The 24,182-nt window shown below is 41.8% G+C and overlaps 1 protein-coding gene and 1 non-coding gene across 2 annotated transcripts, besides 5 other annotated features; both read right to left on the bottom strand.

Annotated features, from left to right (window-relative positions):
- Positions 1-1,722: 1,722 nt before the first annotated feature.
- On the bottom strand, positions 1,723-5,509 carry ABT1 (activator of basal transcription 1). Its single transcript, NM_013375.4, has 3 exons — positions 5,239-5,509; positions 4,352-4,548; positions 1,723-4,197 (listed from the first exon to the last, which is right to left on the bottom strand). The coding sequence occupies exons 1-3, from the start codon at positions 5,477-5,479 to the stop codon at positions 3,817-3,819; spliced, it is 819 nt and encodes a 272-aa protein (NP_037507.1). The 5' UTR covers positions 5,480-5,509; the 3' UTR covers positions 1,723-3,816.
- Positions 5,221-5,660: an enhancer, noted in NCBI's record as "active region_24251". NCBI's record gives its function as "activates an Ori minimal core promoter by ATAC-STARR-seq in GM12878 lymphoblastoid cells {active_cell/tissue: GM12878}" and the evidence as "EXISTENCE:reporter gene assay evidence [ECO:0000049][PMID:35858748]".
- Positions 6,218-6,377: an enhancer, noted in NCBI's record as "active region_24250". NCBI's record gives its function as "activates an Ori minimal core promoter by ATAC-STARR-seq in GM12878 lymphoblastoid cells {active_cell/tissue: GM12878}" and the evidence as "EXISTENCE:reporter gene assay evidence [ECO:0000049][PMID:35858748]".
- Positions 6,478-6,627: an enhancer, noted in NCBI's record as "active region_24249". NCBI's record gives its function as "activates an Ori minimal core promoter by ATAC-STARR-seq in GM12878 lymphoblastoid cells {active_cell/tissue: GM12878}" and the evidence as "EXISTENCE:reporter gene assay evidence [ECO:0000049][PMID:35858748]".
- TRY-GTA6-1 (tRNA-Tyr (anticodon GTA) 6-1) lies at positions 7,500-7,588 on the bottom strand. The gene is given in 2 exon segments: positions 7,500-7,535; positions 7,552-7,588. It is a non-coding gene; the product is annotated as a tRNA-Tyr (tRNA).
- Positions 8,587-8,881: a silencer, noted in NCBI's record as "tiled region #4089; K562 Repressive DNase matched - State 4:PromP". NCBI's record gives its function as "represses a minimal TATA promoter and a strong SV40 promoter by Sharpr-MPRA in K562 cells {active_cell/tissue: K562}" and the evidence as "EXISTENCE:reporter gene assay evidence [ECO:0000049][PMID:27701403]".
- Positions 9,546-9,650: a transcriptional cis regulatory region, noted in NCBI's record as "candidate enhancer chr6.1185 targeted for multiplex CRISPR interference". NCBI's record gives its function as "positively regulates H1-3 gene expression in K562 cells {active_cell/tissue: K562}" and the evidence as "EXISTENCE:mutant phenotype evidence [ECO:0000015][PMID:30612741]".

Here is a 24,182-nt window from a genome sequence, read left to right as displayed (position 1 = left end):
TGTCAGCATTATTCTTTTAAACACTTAAAAGAAAAAAAGATTAGAAGAAGCTGCACGTCCAACCATAAAGTCCTGATTAAATAATCAATGATAATTGACACAATGGAATTGGAGGCAAAGGTGAAAAACAAAAAGAAGTTCTCTGAATTCATTTGCAGGCAATGTGCTGGGGGAGCTCACTGGAGTGCGCTAACCCTGATAGCCCAGGTCAGCCACAGACTGGCCACAATAACTGCTGAAGGTGGCTGGGCACACACCATGCAGCTGCAAAAGACATTGCCAGGTTTCCGATGGCCTCTCCCCTCCGCCCGCCTTCGTGTCTCCAGTTAACAAGGGGTGCGAAAAAAGTGTGGTTTCAAGGGCCCTGGTAACAGAAGATAGAAAATTTTTCATTTTCAATCTCGGCTCACTGCAACCTCCGCCTCCCGGGTTCAAGCAGCGATTCTCCTGCCTCAGCCTCTTGCGTAGCTGGCATTACAGGGGCCCGCCATTACACCCGGCTAATTTTTGTATTTTTAGTAGAGACAGGGTTTCACCGTGTTGCCCAGGCTGGTCTCGAACTCCTGACCTCAAGTGATCCACTAGGCTTGGCCTCCCAAAGTGTTGGGATTACAGGCGTCAGCCACCACACCCGGCCAATTTTCATTTTCTTTAATATTCTGTCAGGTATTGATTTCAAGATGGGAGCCGAGCACCGTGGCTGTAATCTCAGCACTTTGGGAGGCCAAGGTGGGTGGATCGCTTGAGAACGGGAGTTCGAGAGCAGCCTGGGCAACACAGTGAGACCTCATCTCTACAAAAAATATTTTAAAAATTAGCTGGGCGTGATGGTGCATGCCTGCGGTCCCAGCTACTCAGGAAACTGAGGTGGGAGGATTGCTTGAGCCCAGAAGATGGAGGCTACAGTGAGACAGGATCATGCCACTACACTCCAGCCTGGGTGACAAAGTGAGACCCTGTCTCAAAAAATAAAAGGGGGGTGGGCAGGGACCAGCAGATCTAATACTGGATCTTAAGCAATTCACTAAAATTCACATTAAGCCTCCTGGGAACTGAGCATGTCCCTAGACTTCCACCAAAGGATTTTCCCCTCATAATTCTACTGTAATATAACAAGATAAATGCAGGGAGAAAGGTTTTATAAGGAATCACAAAAAAAAAGGAATTTGAGAGTAGCTGTAAATACGACTTTTGAACATTTTTAGGGCAGGGCGTGGTGGCTCATGCCTGTAATCCCAGTACTTTGGGAGGCTGAGGCGGGAGGATCGCTTGAGCCCAGGAGCTCAAGGCCAGCCTGAGCAACATAGAGAGACCCTGTCTCTGAAAAAAAAAAAGAGAGAGAAAGCTTTTAGGCACCCAGACATACCCTATTAAAGCCCTCTTACTCTACCAGGAGTCCCACCTCAACTTATTTGGAAAGAAATCAGCCCACTCCATTGCCATCAAATGCAGAGTCCCAGCTTCTCAGTCAGGAGTGAAACTAAGTTGAATCAGAGTATACACTACAACCACAGGATCATGACTGAGAATTATTACTCAGTTTGCTACTCTTGGTGCTAGATAAAATAAATCCACTCATATTGGCAGGTACACTTCATTCTCTAGTCTATAACATGTGCATTTCTCATGAATTTCCTGTAATAAGCATTCACCATATGCACACTGGGAAAAGCTGGGGAAAAGGTGAGGAACAAAGGATAAAATATTAAGAGGCAAATTGAGTCATCTCTCTGAGCTCAGTTTTAATGGGGGGATAACAATATTATATAGTTGTGGATTAAATGAGTTACTTCATATAAAAAAACAAGTGCTGTTTAAATAGAAACAAAATTGTGGATGTAAAAAATTATTTTCCTACACTCAATGGGCTTAAAGTCAAGATGAAAGTTCCTAGGATATTTTCTTCCACCCATTTATTCTCATTCCTCACTCCACCTGTGACTTACTTAGCTTGCCTGGCCGCAGGTGTGAGCTCTTTGTACAGAACTGTTTTGGAGATGGACCCTGAAATACCAGCCCTTGAACATACTGTTATCTAACGCTGTCCACCGTGGGAATGCAATTTATTTCTTCATTCAAGAAAGTCTTAAATAAAACCCCAGTATGTCTACTGTACTTTCTAAGCTGTTAGCAACTAGAGGGAAAGTTTCTTCTTCACCTTGGTATCTCTTTATCTAGCAGAAGTAGCAATGGGCACTTGGAATTCTGAATAAATGAATATGCCAGCCTGTCAAATTCTGATTCTGGATTTTTCTGTTTCACTTTAAGACATCAATGATCTGAGGAAACAATTCACATGAAACAAACCCACAAGAATTAAAAACAGAAACAAGACGAAAGTTTCTAAATGGAAACGTAGTTTGTGTGCCAAGTATAAGAGGTATGTGGGTTGTGAGAAATGTTATACCAGCTTTACCGTATGGTCCTTTTTATTCTCCCCAGTAAAGTGCACCTGTCAAGATCATAATGTGATTAGGGTATTTTACAGCCAAAGTAGACAAATCCACTCTACCCTATAAAACACAGATCATCACATTGACAGATGAAAAACAAAAACAAACAGCACAAGCAAACAGAAATTATAATCATACTCTATCACTTCATGCAACAGCCTGGAAAATGATCAGAATTTTGGTCTACGTGAGACTGTGTAGACTGTTTATTGTGACACCTAGGTTTTCAGTTCCTTTTAGTGGCTTACACTGATTCTTTGAAGCCTACAGGGCTGCTTTGCCTCAGCCCCACCATATGTAAGTGCACCTGAGGTGCACTGGTTCTCTACTAGGCTTTGCCCACCTTTACAATGGTTCCAACTCAACACTCCACCCAGGAAGCATTCTTTGTAATTGTGGGAGCACTCCACACTCTTTCAGACTTATTATTCTCCCAGTTTACTTTGTAGGAATGATCTGGAAAACTTGGTGAGGACTGACTCACCACTGAAGACTGTGATCATCAATCAGGTTCCCATTGAGAGGACTCTATGACCTGCCATGGCTCCCATTCCACCCTTTATATGCATCTACCACGATGCCTATCTTATACTAGTGGCCTGTAAAACTCTTAATACTAAGATGTGTTATTACCTATTGTCACTGTTTCCTCAAACAATGGCTTAGAAAATGCTGACTTAAGATAACTGATTGATAAACTGGGCTAAGATATTAGACAAAAATTAAATAGAAAAAAAAATCCAGGTTAAACAGTAAGGTGGGTGGCAGGGGGAGGGGGGCTCTAAGATCAGGATATGAAGGTGAAGGGAACACAAGATGAAAGTTGGAACTTGTCCAATGACCTCCCCACCAACAAAAATAAAAAGGCACATAAAAATATTTTTATTTTCTATAAATACATTAGGAAATGTATTTCTTCCCAACCCAGTCCACCCCATTAACTCAATTTTTTCTACATAAAAAAGATGCTAATACCACCCTCACCTGTGACTGCTAAACAGAGAAAGATTGCCTGGACTAGGCATTATCCTCCTAGTTGGAAATAAAGGCCCTTTCTGGGGGCAGGAAGTGGGATTTTCAGGGGACCCTACAGACGTAGGCAGCCAAGAGTCAAACAAAACAAGCATATGCAATAGTCATAATTATGCTAGTATGACAGTATGAATTAGGTGACTCAGCCAGGCACATACAGGAGTTCGGAGTGGGGACAGTGGAAGCCCACAAAACTCCATGTTTGGGCCATCAGTAGACACTTGGTCTGAGAAACACAGTAAAATGTCTGCCCGGGTAGTCACGATCATTCTAGTATGAGGTAGACAGGAAGCAGAGCAGGGCCAGGAAATGGAAGGGGCCACCCAGGCCCTCAGGAGTCCCTGACAAGGGAAGGTCCCTCCATGCTCTCTGAGGGTGGCGGGGCTCCAAAGATCCTGGCCAGGAGCCCTTTGTTGGAGCGGGCCTTGTCCTGGGCAGTTGCCAGGCGAGCCCGTTCACGTCCCCCTGGCCGTGCTGCTTTACGGGCCCTCAGTTCCTGCTCAGTAGGACGCTGGGCAAATGTCCAGGAGCCATCTGGGCGAGCAGGGTCCCCATCGGCCGCAAGAAAGCGTTGTCCCCGTTCCACACTTTGAAGATAGAAGTCGGTCTCACGCTTGGCTTGAGCAACCTCCGCTCTCAAGCGCTGCCTGCGCACCTGGCGCTCAAAGGCGAGGTGCTCGCTGAGGTGGGACCAGGTGAAACGGTGCAAGTACTGTGGGCAGAAAAGAAGAAAAGATCAGGATAGTGCAGATTAGGGAGAAAGATGAGACAAGGGGACAAGGCCAATGAGAGGCCATGGGGATACTTGGGCCAGAGTTGGGGAGAAGGGAGGGTGAGAGGTGTGGCAGAAAGATCTATCTTCTCACCTTGAGGTTCCAAAGATCATAACGGAAGGGGCTGCGCCTGCGGGCACCCATAGGCGTGTTGTGTAGACTGGCCGCCACGCGCTTGGCTATGCGCTTGTCACGGAACTCCACCCATCCCTCGGTGTAGTCCTTGGTGTAGGACCGCTTTTTTCCTCCGGCAGCTGCTGCTGCCTTCTTCTTGCGTCTCACGAACCGGTCTGCGCGCCAAAGACAAAGACCCGTCCAGGACGCCTATGCAGCACTCACTCAAAAGCACCTCCCACTGCCCGCAACGTTCTTCACATCTGCCAGTGGGAGTCCCACCTGAAGAGTTTTTGCCCAGGAGGAAGGGAACTGTAAATCGCACCCTTTCCTCTAGCTAACTCAATTCTTTCCTTAATTGTCCACTCCTTAATCTGGCCAGCCCTGAACGCTGCTTAAAACCGGCACAAGTCCTCAGCCTCAATGTAAAATTGAGGGTGGAAAGAAGAGGGGCGGTTGATCAAATAGTTTCTTGACCTAGGCAGCAATGCTAAAGAGTTATGTTCAGTTTTGTAGAAAAGCTGACGAGACTTTTACTCAGGTTGTATTCATGTAACAAACCAGTAAACAGGTCCGGAAAGAGAGGTGAACAGAGCCGGGATAAGAACACAAATAGTAACAATCCGAGAACTAAAGAACCACCAGACACACTGCGCTACCCACTCTCCCCATATCCCCTCCGCCCGCCCACCCCAGCATCCTCACAGACTGATTCACCAGCCAGGAGCCAAGCACCGCACTCCCCACCCCCAAAATCCAGCAACTCGTGCCTCAGCCTCGCGCAGCGAAGCAACAGGACATGCATGCTTGCACCCCGCCAGCGAGCGACAACCTCCTCCTGTCACCGTCAGGGCCTGCATACTTACCCTCAGCCTGAAAGAAGACGCGTCCGACCTCGCCATAGGCGCTGAGAAGGTTGCGGACGTGCAGGGGCCGGAAGCGCGGCGGGATATGGCCCAGGTACACAATACCTGGCACTACCCGTTTCTTGCTGCCACAGGCCGCTTCTTCGGATTCCTCCTGCTCCTCCTCCGCATCTAGTGTCTGTTCTGTCCCTTCCAGCGGCTCTTGCTCCGTTGCGGCCTTCTCCGATTCCTCTGCCTCCATGTTGACTGACACGAGCGGCACGACGGCCGTAAAGTGCCTTGCCAACTGACGCAAAACGCGTGCGACGGCCTGAGACGAGGGGGCGGGTCCAAGGTGGTGATGACAAATGAAAGGAAATGATTGGGCAATACAGTCGGGTCCAGGGGAAGGCCGAGGGGAGAGGGAGGAAGTGGTGTGTCAGGTCGGAAGCCTGATTCAGAGCGTGGAAGCGGGATGGGAAACTTGGGTTAGGCTCAGATTCCCGGTCAGATCTCCAACTCAGGACAGGCAGAACCAGAAAAGGCAGATCCCCAAATATAACCTACCCTATAGAACGCCTTGTCGAGACGCTAAAAGGCGGGTTGATGCCGGCTTTTTAGGGAATTTTGCAGAACAATTTTAGAGAAGTTTCTATGTGTTCTAGCGATCAAAATAGCATTTTATTCAAGGGCCCCGGGTGCGATTCCAGCTGAGGAATGACTCACCTTTTAAAGTTTATAAATTTCATTTAAAAATTTTGAGTTTTGAGGTTTTAACTATTTCTGGAAATTTACCTCGGAATTTTGAATATTTTAAAATTTAATTTTGAAAACAGTTCAACTTTGGAAATTTAATTAGATTTAATTTTTGAAAATTTAAGTTGTGAACTTTCAGTTTAATATTTTACATTTGATTTTGTGAATGTCTGAAAATTTAAATGTGTGACAATTATTTGAAGAATTTGTTTGGCATCTATTACACGTGTGTATTGATACATTATCCATATGCATACTTATGTTGCAAATACTTGTCAGAGGCGCACAAGCCTCCAATTCTGGCGACCCCCCGGCGGCGCGCTTATTTCTGCTCTCCCTGGGTCTGTCCTCAGATTCCCTATCAGATCACAAACCACTTTTCCTTCTATGACCTACGCAACCGCAGAACGGACCGGGCCACGGCGGTCCTGCTCCCACCAGGCGGCCTGCGGACCATCCCTAAGCCAAGCTCAGGGCAGTTTTCCCCGCGCGGGCTCGGGTCCTCAGTCTCTTATCGTCGCCCGAGGGCGCGACCAGCAGGGGGCGCCGTCCCCACCCTTGAGGCGTTTCAGTTCTTCCCATCGGCGCCAGCGACAAGCTGACTGCAAAGGACAGTGCTGGGAACCGCGTACAAGTAATCCGGTTAGCTTTCTGGAAGCAGCCCGGGGCGAGTTTGATGACTATCAACATAAATCCGTCCTTGCTGCGGCCTGACAAAATTTCCCATCTCGCTCCAAGAGCGCAGAGTAGCCCAGAGAATGGAAGCAGGGAGTAAATGTGTCCACTATTAAAATCAGAGATGACAGTTTTTGCCAGTCCCCAAGTATATTTCTAAAGTAACAGGGCCCTGCACTCTTTCATGGAGTGTCTAAAAGTCTAATAATAGACTTCTCGAATTCAAACACGCCTGTTTCATTAACTTTATTGAAGAGAACTTTCTGTCAGGTAGGTGTCCACTGCTCCTTTTTTGAAGAGGAGCGGGGTACGATGAGAGCGATAAACTCCGTCTACTGCTATTTAATTATAAACACTGACATCTTCAAAACACAGTACAGTTAATGAAATGAGAACACGTGTTGGGGTGGCTTTAAAAGATCTGGAGCTAGGGGAGGGGCATGATGGATGCAAGAGTGTCGGTAAGTTGTGCCAGTGTGGTGGCTAATGGTAGCTATTAGCTATTTTCTCTACTTTGTATATATTTGAAATTATCATTAATAAAATGTTTATTCACACCAAGTATCAATATAACAGGGGGTGCTAAAGGACCGTGAAACCGACAAAAAAAAAAAAATGAAGCCTTGGGGCAGCGTGTTCTTCCCGTTCCCCACATTCCTCATGATCCCTTCTCAACTTGGTGAAAATCGAGTCCCACTCAACTGTCTGTGAAGCAACCCTTGTTAGCAATTTTCAGGGTGGATTATTTTCCTTCTCTGAGCGTCTTACAAATTCCTGAATAAGCAAGCTGCACATGCGTTCTCCAAGTTTCCTTATTTCAGGCCCAGAAGAGACACTTTTAAAAATGGAACTCCTCCGAGCCGGATTCGAACCAGCGACCTAAGGATGACCACATTCAAACCCCTACAGTCCTCCGCTCTACCAGCTGAGCTATCGAAGGATGTCATTACCCTCGTTTTGGATTCTTTAGGATTTACCTATTGCTTTTGACTATCCTGTATTCTTGTTCATTTTGAAAATATAGGGAAACGTGAGGAAATTTTCTAGGATATTAGAAATGTTCCAAAATGTTCTAAAATGTTCTTATCTGAGTAGGGATACTGACTATACAAGTATATGAACAATTCTCTTGAACATTTAAAATTTGTGGGTTTTACTGTAAAAATGTTTCACATAGGTCCAAAAAAATAAAAAATAAACAAAACCACACCAATATTCCATGTCCTCCTCCCTTAGAATAGATAGGACCATTGCCCTTATTGCGCGTGTTGTCCAGCTGTCCTGTCCGCTTAGCACCTCCTCTCTCTATAGGAAGTAAATAATAAAGACAAGGTTATTTTAGACAACTGGGTTGAAGAGGGGGGACCTACCGCCTTGAAGCGAAGTTACTGCCCAGTTCATTTCGGAAACATTGAGATTCTCCTTTCTGAAGGGCAAGGAAAATTACACAATTTGTATAATTTGTAATTTGTGTTCGAGACACAAAACAGAAGTGCGTTGTGTGTGTACATATGTTTAGGAATTGAGCGGCTCATATGATATTGCACAATTGTAATGGGACAAGTAAATGAAACACAACACTTCTCTCTCCCCCTACAATTTAAAAAAGAAATATAGCATTCTATTTACAGGTGTCAACCTAAATAACAAAGAGAAGCTCTCTGAAAGAAAATGATGTTTATTTGGGAATAGAGCATTGCAATGAAAATACGAGTGCCATAGGAAACTATGTATATTCAGGGAGGTAAAGGAAGACAAAGGTGTTTGTTTGTTTGTTTTTGAGTTGGAGTCTGGCTCTGTCGCCCAGGCTGGAGTGCAATGGCGCAATCTCGGCTCACTGCAACCTCCGCCTTCCGGGTTCAAGCAATTCTCCTGCCTCAGCCTCCCGGAGTAGCTGGAATTACAGATGCCCGCCACCACGCCCGGCTAATTGTTGTATTTTTAGTAGAGACGGGGTTTCACCATATTGGCCAGGCTGGTCTCGAACTCCTGACCTCATGATCCGCCCACCTGACCTCATGATCCAGAATATAAAGTGCTGGGATTACAGGCGTGAGCCACCGAGCTCAGCGACAAAGATTTGTAAGGGAAAAAATGAGAAGGATTATATAACTGTGTTGAGGTAATTATTGTCTGCTACAAAAATGGATAGCAAAGAGGAAGCTAGTCCGAGGTTGGACAGGCAGTTGTGGGGCAGATGTCCTTGTAGAAGTATTTTTTGTGTAAGATTGTGATGGCCTGTGCAAGATTGTGGTTTTTGCAGTCTTTTGTGATAGTTTTTGTTATCAAGCATGGCCTTTTCCAGCTCTATTAATTAGCGTTTTTAGTTTGTTTTGTGTGTTTGTGTGTTTTAACAATAGTGACTCCATTTTGATTCTGACAGTTTTCACAAAGGTATGCTGTCATGCTTTGCTAATAAGTACCTATCATGGTATTCAGCTTCCTCGTGCCTAAAACAGAAATGAACACCAATGGGAAGAACGGGAAGGCATCTGGAGAGACTTTTCTTTTTTATAAAATTATTAGAAGTATATGGAAATTATAAATTGTGAAATTTATGGAAAGGAGTGTTGGTGAATTTATTTATAAAAGATCATCACTTATTACAGTTAAAGTTCTCCATAATTGTAATCTTGACAAAAATACGGTTTTTTTTTTCAAAAGATCCTCTCCAGCGTTTCCCATGAGAAATATCTGCAGCAACATAACTAATATTTAATTCAGTTATTCAATTCATTGCCATGAGAAACTAAGAATATATGGTCTGGTAAATTCCTTTCCAATAATGTAACCTAGTCGGGGAAAATACGAGAAGCCAGAGAAGAGAAATGAGCAGATTCTTATGAGATGGTCTCTGCCCATATGAAGTGTACTAACTGAGCCTTGGACACCAGATGTGAAAGCAGTTGACCAACCCTGCCATTTCACCACCAAACCCCAGGATCTCAGTTCACATGCTTTCTCGAATAAAAGCTTCACTAATTTTCACAGGGGGCAGCAAACATACAGAAAAAAATGCTCAGTATGTTTCTCATCAGTTACTGCTATGCTCAGGAGCTCCCAGAGCCTCCTGACTCTCAGTGACACGGTACTATAGAGTTGATTTTGATCAGGAAGAACTCCAATAGCTAATCTCATCAATTATTTTCTTTACCTATAAACTAATCTTAGCATAAGAATCACACCTCAGGGCTGTTAAAGTTGGAATTTCATTTGCCTGAAATGCTCTTTCCCCTGATAATCCCCAATATTTGCCTCCTGGGAATACAAGAACAAGTAATTAGTACCTTTCCGCACTAGATTTCTGTATCACTTTGAGGGAAGACTTCCTTCTTCCTCTTCTTACAGAATCTGGTGTCAGAACGGCCATTCTATTTATTCCCTCTTGTTGCAGACACAAGTTCAAAATGGGTTTATGGCTAAATCTAACTATCTGAAATAATTCTTGGAAATGTATCATCATCACTTGATTACAATCTCACCCTGTAGCTTCTCTATTGTTTTAGCACCTTTTCAACTTGCGAATTGAGTCCTACCTAGATGGTTTTAACTTCTCTTGAAGCTTACAGACCACTATAATATTCCTATGGAATAAAAAGGAACAAACTATTGGTAAACGTAACAACAGGGATGAAACTCATCTGCATTATGCTGAATTTACAAAGCCAGATACAAAATGCTACATACTATATTATTCCTATGAAATTCTTGCAAGGGCAAAGCTATAGGGACAGAAAATATCCTTAGTTGCTACTGGGGTAGAAGATAGGGGAGAAATTAAGTATAAAAGAAACATAGTGATTCAGTAAGAACAAAATAGAAAAAGAAGAAGAGGAAGAAGAAGGAGAAGGAGAGGAGGAGGAGGAAGAGGAGGAGAAAGAAAGAAGGAAGAAAGAAGAAGAAGAAACAACTTCTTTCTTCTTTCCTCCTGGGAGGCTAGGCCTGGTGTCATGCCTGTAATGGCTTGAGCCCAGGAGTTCCAGCCTGCAGTAAGCTATGATGGAAGAACTGCACTCCAGCCTGGGTAACAGAGCATGACCCTGTCTATTAAAAAAAAAAAAAAAAGAAGAAGAAGAAGGAGAAGGAGAAGAAGAAGAAGGAGGAGGAAAAGAAGAAGAAACATGCAGAAATTTGGGGGTAGAGTGATATTATTATTCCATATCTTGATTGTAATGGTGATAACACGACTGTCTATATTTGACAAAATTTGCTACACTAAGGAGAATGTACATTAAAACTGATGACATTACTGTATGTGAATTGTACCTTAATCTAAAAAATGGGAAGAGTAACTTTCAAAGAATTAAAGAAGAAAAGAAAAGTGTAGCTTAGAATTTAATTTTGAAATCAATGTAATCAGTGTAATTACTTTATTATCAGACTAAACAGGAAAAGCCATATGATTATTCCAGTAGGTGTAGAAAAAAGCAATTGACAAAATTCAGATACATTTGTTAGAATTTCTGCAAAGTATAAAAGACATATTTAAGAATTCAACAGCTAATATATTTAGTGATGAAAAACTCAAATGTTTTGGCCCTAACATCAGGTCCAGAGCAAGGATGTCCACTCTCACAACTTCTATTCAGCATTATCCTAGAGATTCTAGCCAGTGCAATAACACAAGAGAAAGAAAAAAATACAGATTAAAAGGAAAAAGTGAGACTATCTTTATTTGCATGTAACATTATTGTCTACGAGAAAATACTGAGGAAACTTCTACAAAGCTACTACAACTAATGAGTAAGCTTACCAAAACTGCAGGACACAAATATAATAAATTGTAATTCTATTTATTAATAGATTGTATTTGTTAACAATAAATAGTTAGAAATTGAAATACAAAATACCATTTGAAATAGTATAAAAAATATGAAACATTTAGAGATAAATTTACCAAGATGCAATGAAAGCAATGCATTGTTTCCAGAACAGAAAATTTAAACAATTTTCAGATATCAATTCCACATCTTTCAAATTGACTGATACATTTAATGCCATGACTATCAAAATCTCAATGATTTTTTTTAGAAATTGGCAAGCCAAATATAAAATGTATAAAATGTATACAGACAGTCAAAAGATGCAAAATATCCAAACTAATTTTGAAGAACAAAGTTGGAAGAACACTACCTGATTTCAAGACTTACAACAAAGCTACATAGAGTCTAGAGATAAACTTACATGATTATGATTAATTGATTTTTGACAGAGGTGCCAAGGTAATTCTACAGGAAAACGATAATCTTTGCAAAATGATGCTAAAAAACCTGAATATCCATGTGCTAATAAGTGAACTTAGACCCTTATATCACACAATGTACAAACATTAATTCAAAATTAATCAAAGACTTAAATGCAAGGACTAGAACAACAAAACCTCTAGAAGAAAACGTAGAAGGAACTCTTTGTGACTTTAGGTTAAGCAAAAAGATTTTAAATGGGACACAAAAGCATAAACCATAAAGGAAAAAATAAGTTGAATTTCATCAAAGTTTAACAAAAAATCTGCGCTTCAAAAGATACTGTTAAGAAAAGACAAGTCAGGCCAGGCATGGTAGCTCAAGCCTGTAATCCCAGCACTTTGGAAGGCTGAGGCCGGCAGATTGCTTGAGTCCAGGAGTTCAAGATCAGCCTGGGTAACACAGCGAAATCCCCTCTCTACCAAAAAAAAAAAAAAAAAAAAAGTCACAGTTTAGAAAAAGATACTTGGAAAACACTTCCCTGATGCAGGACTTATAACCAGAACAATAACATACTCTTGCAACTCAATAATAAGACCAGACAATACCCTTTTTTAAATGGACAAATGATTTGGACAGATATTTTACAAAAGAAGCTGTACTGATGGCCAATAAGCATAATAAGATATGTAACATCACTATTCATTAGGCAGATGCAAATTAAAGCCACAATGAGATACTTTACACACCTAAGAGAATAGCTGAAGTTAAAAAAAAAAAAGGTGAGAAATTAACAGTGCCGAGCGCCGATGATGATGTGAAATAACTGAAATTCTTATATATTGCTGGTGGGAATACAAACTGGTCCACCTTGAAAAACACTGTCAGTTTTTAAAAATGAAGTTATACATATATTTGCCATAACACTACATGAATATTTATAGTAGCTTTATGCATAACTGCCAAAAACTAGAAACATCCAAGTATCTATCAGCTGGTGAATGGATAAGTTGTAGTAAATCCACATAATGGAATACTGCTCAGCAATAAAAGGAATTAACTACTAATATATGCCACATTGATAATTTTTTTTTTTAAGACAGAATTTCGCTCTTATCACCCAGGCTGGAGTGTAGTGGCGCAATCTCGGCTCACTGCAACCTCTGCCTCCCGGGTTCAAGCGATTCTCCTGCCTCAGCCTCCCGAGTAGCTGGGATTACAGGTGCCCGCCACCACGCCCGGCTAATTTTTTGTATTTTTAGTAGAGAGGGGGTTTCGCCACGTTGGGCAGGCCGGCCTCCAACTCCTGACCTCGGGTGATCCGCCTGCCTCGGCCTCCAAAAAGGCCACCACATTGATAAATCTTAAAGCATTATGTTATATAAAGAAAGTCAATCATTGACTGGGCGGTGTGGCTCACGCCTGTAATCCCAATACTTCGGAAGGCTAAGGAGAGCGGATCACCTGAGATCGGGAATTCGATACCAGCCTGGCCAACATGGTGAAACACCGTCTTTATTAAAAATACAAAAATTAACCGGACGCGGTAGCGGGAGCCTGTAACCCTAGCTACTTGGGAGGCTGAGGCAGGAGGATCGCTTGAACCCGGGAGGCAGAGACTGCAGTGAGCCAAGATCGCGCCACTGCACTCTAGCCTGGGTGACAGAGCAAAACTCTTGTCTCAACAACAACAACAACAACAACAACAACAACAGGGAATTACAAAGGGATACATTCAATTTATTATTATTATTATTTAGACAGGGTCTCAACTCTGTCACCCAGGCTCTAAAGAGTGCAGTGGTGGGATCTCGGCTCATAGCAACCTCCGCCTCCCGGGTTCAAGTTATCCTCCAACCTCAGCCTCCCGAGTAGCTGAGGCTACAGGCACGTGCCACCACGCCCCGCTAATTTTTGTAGAGGCGGGTTTTCGCCTTGTTCCCCAGGCTGGTCTCCAACTCCTGACCTCAAGTGATCCACCCGCCCCGGCCTCCCCAAGTGCTGGGATTACAGGCATGAGCCACGGTGCCTGGTCCCAAATTATTTCATTTATACAGTTAGAGAAAAGACAAAAGTATAAAAACCAAAATCAGGCCGGGCGCGGTGGCTCACGCCTGTAATCGCAGCACTTTGGGAGGCCGAGGCGGGCAGATCACCTGAGGTCAGGAGTTCGAGACCTGCCTGACCAACATGGTGAAATCCCATCTCTACTAAAAATAAAAAATTAGCCGGGCGTGGTGGCACATACCTGTAATCCCAGCTACTCGGGAGGCTGAGGCTCGGAAGGCTGAGGCAGGAGAATCGCTTGAACCCAGGAGATGGAGGTTGCAGTGAGCCGAGATCGCGCCATTGCACTCCAGCCTGGGTTGTCAGGGGCTGAGAATGGATAGCAGCAATCGACTGTAAAAGGGCATGAGACAGTTTTGGGAAGCAAAGGATATGTATTTATCTTTGTATTTGTGTTGGTTACTTCCAGCATACATTTGCCTGAACTTGCTAAAATGTGCACTTTCTTCTCAACACTTACAGACTGCTGTCAATTTTTTTAAAAAAAATTTTAAATGCACACTTTGAAAGTTTTACTTGTACAAAACCCTGACTTATAAAGTAAACAAAATACTTTATAAGTTGTACTTTATAGGTTGGTGCAAAAGTAATTGCGGTTTTGCCAGTAAAAGATGGGAACAACCGCAATTACTTTTTGCCGTTTTCTACTGGCAAAACGGCAATTACTTTTGCATCAACTTACTGTATGACTAAGAAACCCTGTCTCTACTAAAAATACAAAAATTAGCCGGGCGTGGTGGCGCACGCCTGTAATTCCAGCTACTCGGTAGGCTGAGGCGGGAGAATCGCTTGAACCCGGGAAGCCGAGGTTGCAGTGAGCGGAGATGTTGCCACTGCACTCCAGCCTGGGAGACAGAGGGAAACTCTGTCTCAAAAATATAATAAATAAATAAATAAATAAATCACTCAGAACCAAATAAATGAGAGATATAACATATTTATGGATCAGAAGATTTGATACTGTGGAGCTGCCAAGTCCCTCCGGTTAATTTATGGATTCAACACAATCCCAATAAAAATCCCAGTGGGTTGTTTTTTTTTTTGTAAAAATGGTCCAGATTATTTTACAAAATTAACTTGGAACACAAATAACTCAGAATAACAACAGCCATCTTAAATAAGAATTACAAAGTTGGAGGACATACACTGTTAAGTTTTCAAGATTTATTTAAAAATTAAGTAATCAAGACAAAATGGTGTTGGTGTAAGGATAGGCCTGCAGATCAATGGGACAAACTAGAGAGCCAGGAAGCAGACTCACATACATATTGACAATTGATTTTTGAGAAAGCTGTCAAAATAATTCAATGGAAAAAGGATAGGCGTTCAGTAATTGGTACGGGTACAATTGGACATTCATGTATTTAAAAAAATCTATGGCCCCACATCAGCAACATATTTAATAATTAAAACTTTATCATAAAATTGTAAAACTTCTAGAAGAAAATTTGTATGACCTTTGGTTAGGCAAAAAATTCTTTAAAGGAACACACACACAAAAAAAGCTATAAAAATATAAATTAATAAATTAGACTTAATCAAATTTAAATGTTTGCTTTATAAAAGACACTGCTTAGGCCAGGCATGGTGGCTCACACCTGCAATCCCACCACTTTGCGAGGCAGATGTGGGAAGATCACCTGAGGTCAGGAGTTCGAGACCAACCTGGCCAATGTGGTGAAAGTCTGTCTCAACTAAAAATACAAAAACCGGCTGGCATTGTGGCAGGTACCTTCACTGGGCATTGGAGCAGGTGCCTGTAGTCCCAGGTTCTTGGGAGGCTGAGGCAGGAGAATCACTTGAACCCAGGAGGCAGAGGTTGCAGCGAGTGGAGATGTAGCCACTGCACTCCAGCCTGGGCAACAGAGCGAGACCCCGTCTCAAAACAAAAACAAAAACAAAAAATAAATCAAATAAAAAATAAAAACAAACAAAATCAAAGTATTCTCTAAGATTTAGGGGAACTAAAAGAACTGTTTGTTCTTTTACCCATAATAATTATGTTCTAACGTATTATACAACAATACGTTTGTTTTCACCATATTTTGTCTCCAATGCTTTTGTTCTGATGTTTTCATATTATGTACAATATTTTTTATTGCACTAAGTTTCAGATTTGGGAAACTTGCCTAGCTGCTTTTATGAAAATCAACATAGAAACTACTGCAATCCTTCATCAATGGAGGGACCACCATGGTTCAGAGATGCTAGACTTCCAACTGGCCCATGTTCTAATGGACCTTTGTGTTGTCTCCCATAGGGAAAAGCTAAATGTATTTGGCTTTTAGGAAGGAGAGCAGCCAGAATAATTGGTGGCCCTATGGTGCTCTGTGATGGTCATATGGTCATTCTGATCCACAGTCTTCTAGTAACGTAGCATGTGCAGATTGTAGTTCTTACTTCCTCAGAAATAGATGTGGACATATGACACATTTGTTCTGGAAAATGAGGTGTCCCTTCCAGATGTTTGAGAGTCAGTGAGCAATCTATCGGGTCCCTTTTTACCTTACCTTGACAAAATAATTGATTATTTTGATTGTAGAGGATCTACAAATCAGGGTTTATTAGTGAAATAGAGACCACCAACCAAATCATGATAGATTTTTATGACACAGAAATAGGAGTTTATGGTTATAAGCCAGTATGATTTGGCGTGGGGGAGAGGAATTACTTATTATTGCAGCATAAGCTAATGTATCCAGATGGATACATCCAGGAAATTCAGAAGTATGAATTCATTAAGAAGACCAGATTCCTTTCTAGGTAAATATCCAACAAAATTGTGTGAACTTGAGCACTAAGAGGTATGCTAAAAGTGTTCATAGAAAACAGGTTTTTAAATATACATATATATTTTAATATATTAATATCAACATATCCCAAGAAAAAGCTTAGTGAAGTATTGCCAGTGGTCTACGTACAGCCTAATATCACTTTATATTATGATAAGCTTAGGAAAATGTCTAAAGTTTCTTTGGTTCTTTGTGGTAGAATTCTAGAACATTTAAATGTATTGAGCTAAAAGTAGTAAAAATCTCAAAATTAGAATGAACACAGATCTAAGATTGGGATTTTAAAATACTATGGCAGTTTTTCAAGCCTGGAAAGTTCAGTCATTAGGATTACAGCAAAAATAATTATTAGACACAAGAGGCATTTCACCTGCTCTGTCTCTTGGCCCCATATGCAGCCATAGTGACTGTCCTTTTTCTCCTTTTCTCCCTTGCCACAGCACCCACAATTCAGATTGCTTTCCTTTTTCCCTCATAACTTCTACCAACCATTTGCTTCTTTGGGGACAGATCTTCCCTAAGACAAATAGAAAATTGTAGCATGAATCATAAAATCTTAGCCTCTTAAATCCTTGCTGCACCTGAAAATTACCATGCGAGATCATTTCTTAATGTTGAGTTTTATGCCTAATTATTATTAGTAAATAGACTGAGCATCACATTCAATGGAAAGTTACATGACTATCTTATATATGCATGCTGTATCTGGTCTAAAGTTTCTATTTTCATGGCTAAAATAGCTACAAGGAACCTGATCATTGTCTTATCTTCTACTTTTATTCCCAATGGCAGGTAGGGCTTCCTAATACTCCTAACTCCTTCTAATCCAGCAGTAGTTCTTCAACATCAGTGTTCCTTTTGTACAACACTGGTTTCAGTTCTAGGAACATCTCAGGCTCTCTAAGATATCTGAGCCTTTTTTAAACTGTTTATTCTCCCAGGAATGACCTGGAAAATGTATTGACCACTGACCAACTTTTATTTTATTATTATTATTACTATTATTATTACTTTGTGTGTGTACGTGAGATGGAGTTTCGCTCTTTTGCCCAGGCTGGAGTGAAGTGGTGTGATCTTGGCTCACTGCAACCTCCACCTCGCGGGTTCAAGTGATTCTCCTGCCTCAGCCTCCCTAGTAGCTGGGATTACAGGCATGTGCTACCACGCCCGACTAATTTTTGTATTTTTAGTAGAGACGGGGTTTCAGCATGTTGGCTAGGCTAGTCTTGAACTCCTGACCTCAAGTGATCCACCTGCCTCAGAAACTGCTAAGATTACAGGCATGAGCCACGGCACCTGGCCACTGACCAACTTTGAAGACCAAGGATCAAGGATCAACTCCACATTGAAGATGTTGGAGCCTCACCATATTACCTCTGGCATCCCACCAAGAAGCCCCCCCCATATCCCCCTGACCTTCACCATGTCAATGTCCACCAGGCTGATTTCTACCTGCCGGTACTTGCATCTTATCGCATGAGAGCTTTCCCCACCTGCTGATCACACTTTGCCCACATTCATGGCAGGCCAGATGTTCCACTGAATTGGAGGTTTAGAATAGCTCCCAAGCAATTTTTGGTAAATGGTGTATGACTATCCCAGCTCCCTTACCCTTGAAGTTTGATCATTTTTAGGCATATTTTCAACATTGTTTCCCAGAGTTCCTCCTCTGAGGATTAAGAGGGGTTAAGAAGGATTAAGCTTGAATAGCCCAGAGTGGTATTCCTTGGTTTCTTTTCTTTTCTTTTTCACTTTGTTTTTTCCACACCAGTGTTTTCTGGATTAAACCACTTGCCCCTAAATCCTTGAATAAACCACCCCACCCCACCCCACCCCAGAAAAAAAACAGTAGGTTTTTGAAAGGTCATCCAATATGCTGTGGAAGAATAGGTAAGTAGTCAGGGGCAGAAGCAGGAAGGCAAGATTGATTCAGGCGAAAATTACGATGTCTCCAAAAGGAGTTGTGGCAGTAAGAGTGGTGAGATGCTGTAAGATCATGGATATGTAGTGAAGATAGAAGCAACAGAATCACCCAATAAATTGATGCGGAATGCGACACAAAGAAGAATCAGGCTGACTCCCAGGTATCTGACCAGAGAACTGTGAAGGATGGAATGGAGTGAGGGTGACTGTGGGTGCGACAGATTTGGGAGGGAATGAGATAAGGAGTCCAGTTTTGATGATTATTAGCTTCTAAGTGGAGATGATGAGTAGGTAGGAATACTGCAGTAGGATCAGTCTGCAGTTTGCGGGAGAGTCTGGGCTGGAGATATAATAATGTGAATTATCTGCACAGAAACAGGTTTAAGTTCATGACTCTGGATGAGACTCTGAAAGAATTGGGTGTAAATAGATAACAGAAGAGGACTAAGAACTAAAGCCTGGGGAGAAAAACAATATTAAGGAGTCAGGGAGAAGAGGAAGAACCAGTAAAGAAGACTAGGAAGAAGCTATCAATGAGGAATGAGTAACTCAAAGAGAGTGTGATGCCCCAGAAGCCAAATGAAGAAAATATACCAAGAAGAATTGAGCAGCCCAATCTAATGCTGCTACTGATGAACCATGTAAGAAAAGGCAGATAATTTATTATTAGATTAGCAACAGTGAGGTCTATGGGAACTTTGAAAAGAGCCGTTTATGTAGAGATGAAAGACAAATTGGAGTAGGTTTAACACAGAGGACAGGCTGGATGCAGTGGCTCAAGCCTGTAATCCCAGCACTTCGGGAGGCCAAGTCAGGAGGTTCGCTTGAGACCAGGAGTTGGAGACCAGCCTCGGCAACGTGGAGAGACCCCATCTCTACAAAAATTAGCCACAGGTGTGGTGGCACACAACTGTAGTCCTGGCTACTCAGGAGGCTGAAGTGGGAGAGTAGCTTAAGCTGAGGAGGTTGAGGCTGCAGTGAGCCGCTATCATGCCACTGCACTGCAACCTGAGTAACAGAGCCAGAACCTGTCTCACAAAAAAAATAAAAAAAAAAAAAAAATCCAGAAAATGTCAGACACTGTGGTGTGTGCCTGTAGTCCCAGCTACTCAAGAAGCTAAGGCAGGATAGCTGGAGCCCAGGAGTTCAAGTCCAGCCTGGGCAACAAAATGAGACCTCCCTGCCCCCACATCCCTCTCTCTCAAAACAAAACAAAACATCAGGAAGAAAGTCCCATTAAATATACTAAAATAAAAACGTTTTCCTTCTTTCCACAGTCTCTCTCTTGATTTATCATGGTGCTTTTATTTGCTATTTAATGTCATTCTAAGTAAAAATTAAACTTTTACATTATTAATTTTACTGTTAATCTTTGTTGTTCAGTGCCAATTTTAAATGCAAATACAAGGATATTTAATTCATACTTGGAATCACTGACATTCCACAATTTACATTTAATAGCTCAATACAAGCCTATATATTTTGTTCTTACCCCAACAGTGGAAACACTGCCTAAAACTAACTCATTAATTAACTCACACACATTTTACCAATACTATCTTTGGTTTACTGATAAGGAAAGACTAAAAGGAAAAAGAACTATGGGTTGCCCTATCTTTCCATTTCCTCCTCTGTCAATATTTTCAGTGTAAGTGATTAGTTCATGCAGGGACGTAACATGAATAAACAAGGATATGATGGGCTGTTTCTTAGACCCTGCCATTGCCTTCTTTCTGCACCCTAAGCAAGTTTTGGTTTGAACATAAACTGTGGCCTCTGGGGGCTGTCAGCACCTCCACTTCTTTTAGTCACAGAGGTAACATGTTTATATGTGCTTTGAGTCTTAGCATCATGGTTCCCCCAAATTTTGTGCTCATGGGGCATTGCCAATGCTGTATGTGAAAAGGGTGGCAAGGAATTGAGGCTGCCACCTGACCTGTCTCCTCTGTTATGTGAATGTTCCATTGTCCCATTGGACATCACGTTCAAAACACAAATTCAAAAATTATATTATAATGAATCTCAAGATGGCAACAACAGAGTATTAAACCAAGAGCTAGTCTTTCTGAACACAAAGCCCTGTGCAACTGCACAGGTTGCATATGCATAAAGCTAGCCTTGAATGTAAAATATCAGGAAGTGAGGGGGCGGGGGAGATGATGTAGGAATGATAATCAGGACAACAGCTGGAGTGTCATCCTTGAGAATGGGATGGGATCTAGTGCCCAGGAGGACCAATACGATTATGTAAGAGTATCTGTAAAATCAGTACCTCTACTAACTTGTTTAATCAAAGTAAATTGTCCATTAGCTTGGCATACAAATAGGGATCCACCATTCACACTTGATCCTGAACCTCCCTTTCTGACAGACCTTTGCTTCCTTGACAGCCTCTATTTGGGAGGCTAGAATAGTCTCTTGACTCAGACTAGCATCTTCCACGATGCAAGAGAGTGGCAACAATCACTTTTTAGAAACCCAGAATGTTTCTAAATGAATGTTTCCATTTCTGCTGCCAGCATAGTACATCAGTATCACCCTTCACTATCTCTCATGTAACCTTTTAGAAAACCTCTCTGCCTTTCCCCCAAACTCCTTTTCCATCCCCCTTTCCAACAGTATTCCCCACTCTCATGGTGCTACTAAATGCTTTATAAAAAACAAATCTAAGAGGGTAACTATATTTGATAAACAGCTGTAAAGCCTATCTATTGCCCTCAGAATAAAGAAAAAAGTCCTGGAAGTCCTAGCCAGAGCAATCAGGCAAGAGAAAGAAATAAAAAGCATCCAAGCTGGGCGTGGTGGCTCACATCTGTAATCCCAGCACTTTGGGAGGCCTAGGCAGGCAGATCACCGGAAGTCAGGAGTTTGAGACCAGCCTGACCCCATGGAGAGACTCTGTCTCTACCAAAAATACAAAATTAGGTGGGCGTGGTGGCGCATGCCTGTAATCCCAGCTACTCCGGAGGCTGAGGCGGGAGAATCTCTTGAACCCGGAAGGCAGAGGTTGCGGTGAGCTGAGATCTCACCATTGCACTCCAGCCTGGGCAATAAGAGTGAAACTCTGTCTCAGGAAAAAAAAAAAAAAAAAAAGCAACCAAATAGGAAAAGAATAAGGCAAATTTTCTCTCTTTGCAAATGACATAATACGATACTCAGAAAACCTTAAAGGCTTCTAGAACTGATAAACTACCTTGATAAAGTTTCAGGAAACAAAATCAATGTACAAAAATCAATAGCATTTCTATACACCAATAAGGTCAAGCTGAGAGCCAAATCAAGAATGCAATCCCATTTACAATAGCCACAAAAAGAATAAAATACCTAGGAATACAGCTAACTAAGGAGGTGAAAGATCGCTACAAGAAGAATTACAAAACACTGCTGAAAGAAATCAGAGGTGACACAAACAAATGAAAAAACATTCCATGCTCATGGATAGGAAGAATCAATATTGTTAAAATGGCCATACTACTCAAAGCACTTTACAGGTTCACTGCTATTTCTATCAAATTACCAACATCGTTTTCCCCAATTAGAAATTAGAGAAAACTATTTTAAAATTTATATTAAATCAAGCTGGGCATGGTGGCTCACACCTGTAATCCCAGCACTTTGGGAGGCTGAGGTGGGCGGATCACCTAAGGTCAGGAGTTTGAGACCAGCCTGGCCAACATGGTGAAATCCTATCTCTACTAAAAACACAAAAAACAGAAGGGTGTGGTGGTTCACTCCTGTAATCTCAGCTACTCGGGAGGCTGAGGCAGGAGAATCGCTTGAGCCTGGGAGGCAGAGGTTGCAGTGAGCCAAGATCGTGCCACTGCACTCCAGCCTGGGTGACAGAGCAAGACTCCATCTCTAAATAAATAAATAAAATAAAATCATATGAAATAAAAAAGAGCCCAAATAGCCAAAGAAATACTAAGCAAAAAGAACAAAGCCAGAGGCATCACCCTACTCACCTTCAAACTATACTGCAAAGCTACAAGTAACCAAAACAGCATGGTACTGGTACAAAAACAGACATACAAACCTATGGAACAAAATAGAGAACCCAGAAATAAAGCCACACAACTATAACCATCCAATCTTTGACAAAGTTGACAAAATAACAAGCAATGAAGAATGGACTGTGTTCAATAAATGGTGCTGGAATAACTGGCTAGCCATGTGCAGAAGATTGAAATTGGACCCATACCTTTCACCATATACAAAAATTAACTCAAGATGGATTCAAGATTTAAATGTAAGACCTCAAACTATAAAAATCCTAAAAGAAAACCTATGAAATACCATTCTGGACATCAGCCTTGGCAAGTAATTTATGACTAAGTCTCCAAAAGCATTTGCAACAAAAACCAAAATTGTTAAGGGGAATGTAATTAAACTAAGGAGCTTCTGCCCAATAAAAGAAACCATCAAGGGGCCCGGTTCACTGGCTCACACGTGTAATCCCAATACTTTGGGGGGTGGAAGTGTGTGGATTACTTGAGGTTAGGAGTTCGAAACCAGCCTGGCCAATATGGCGAAATCCCATCTCTACTAAAAATACAAAAATCAGCCAGGCATGGTGGCACACACCTGTAGTCCCAGCTACTCAGGAGGCCGAGGCATGAGAATCACTTGAACCTGGAAGGCCAAAATTGCAGTGTGCCGAGATCACACCACTGCACTCCAGCCTGGGCAACAGAGTGAGACTCTGTCTTGAAACAAACAAAACAAAACAAACAAACAACAAAACCATCAACAGAGTAAATAGGCAGCCTACAGAATGGAGAAAATATTCACAAATTATGCATCCAACATAGCTCTAATGCCAAGGATTCATAAGGAACTTAAATAATTGCATGAGCAAAAAACAAATAACTCCAATAAAGAAAATGGGCAAGAGACATGAACAGACACTTTTCAAAAGAAGACAAACATGCAGCCAACAAATATATGAAAAATGTTCAACATCACTAATTAGAGAAACACAAATCAAACCTCAATGAGATACCATTTCACATCAGTCAGAATGGCTGTTATTAAAACATCAAAAATAATGGATATATGGCAAGGTTGCAGAGAAAAGGGAATGCTTACATTCCCACTGTCGGTGGGAATGTAAATTAATTCAGCTACTGTGCAAAACAGTTTGGAAATTTCCCAAATAACTTGGAACTACCATTTGACTCATCAATCCCACTACTGAGTATAAACCCAAAGGAAAATAAATCGTTCTACCAAAAAGACACATGCATCAGTATCTTCGTTGCAGCACTATTCACAATAGCAAAGACATGGAATCAAGCTACATACCACTAAGGGTGGAATAAAGAAAACGTGGTACATATACATCATGGAATACCACACAGCCATGAAAAAGTACAAAGTCGCGTCCTTTGCAGCATCATGGGTGCAGCTGGAGGCCACTATTGTAAGTGGATTAACTCCGGAACAGAAAACCAAATACCTCATGTTCTCTCACTTATAAGTAGGGAGCTAAACATTGAGTACACACAGACACAAAGGTGAGAACAATAGACCCTGGGAACTACTAGAGGCAGGATGATGGGAGGAGGATGAG

Source organism: Homo sapiens, chromosome 6 (assembly GCF_000001405.40).
Source record: "Homo sapiens chromosome 6, GRCh38.p14 Primary Assembly".
NCBI lineage: Eukaryota > Metazoa > Chordata > Mammalia > Primates > Hominidae > Homo > Homo sapiens.
Note: the sequence above shows the minus strand (reverse complement) of the source record. Positions and strands in the feature narration are given on the sequence as shown.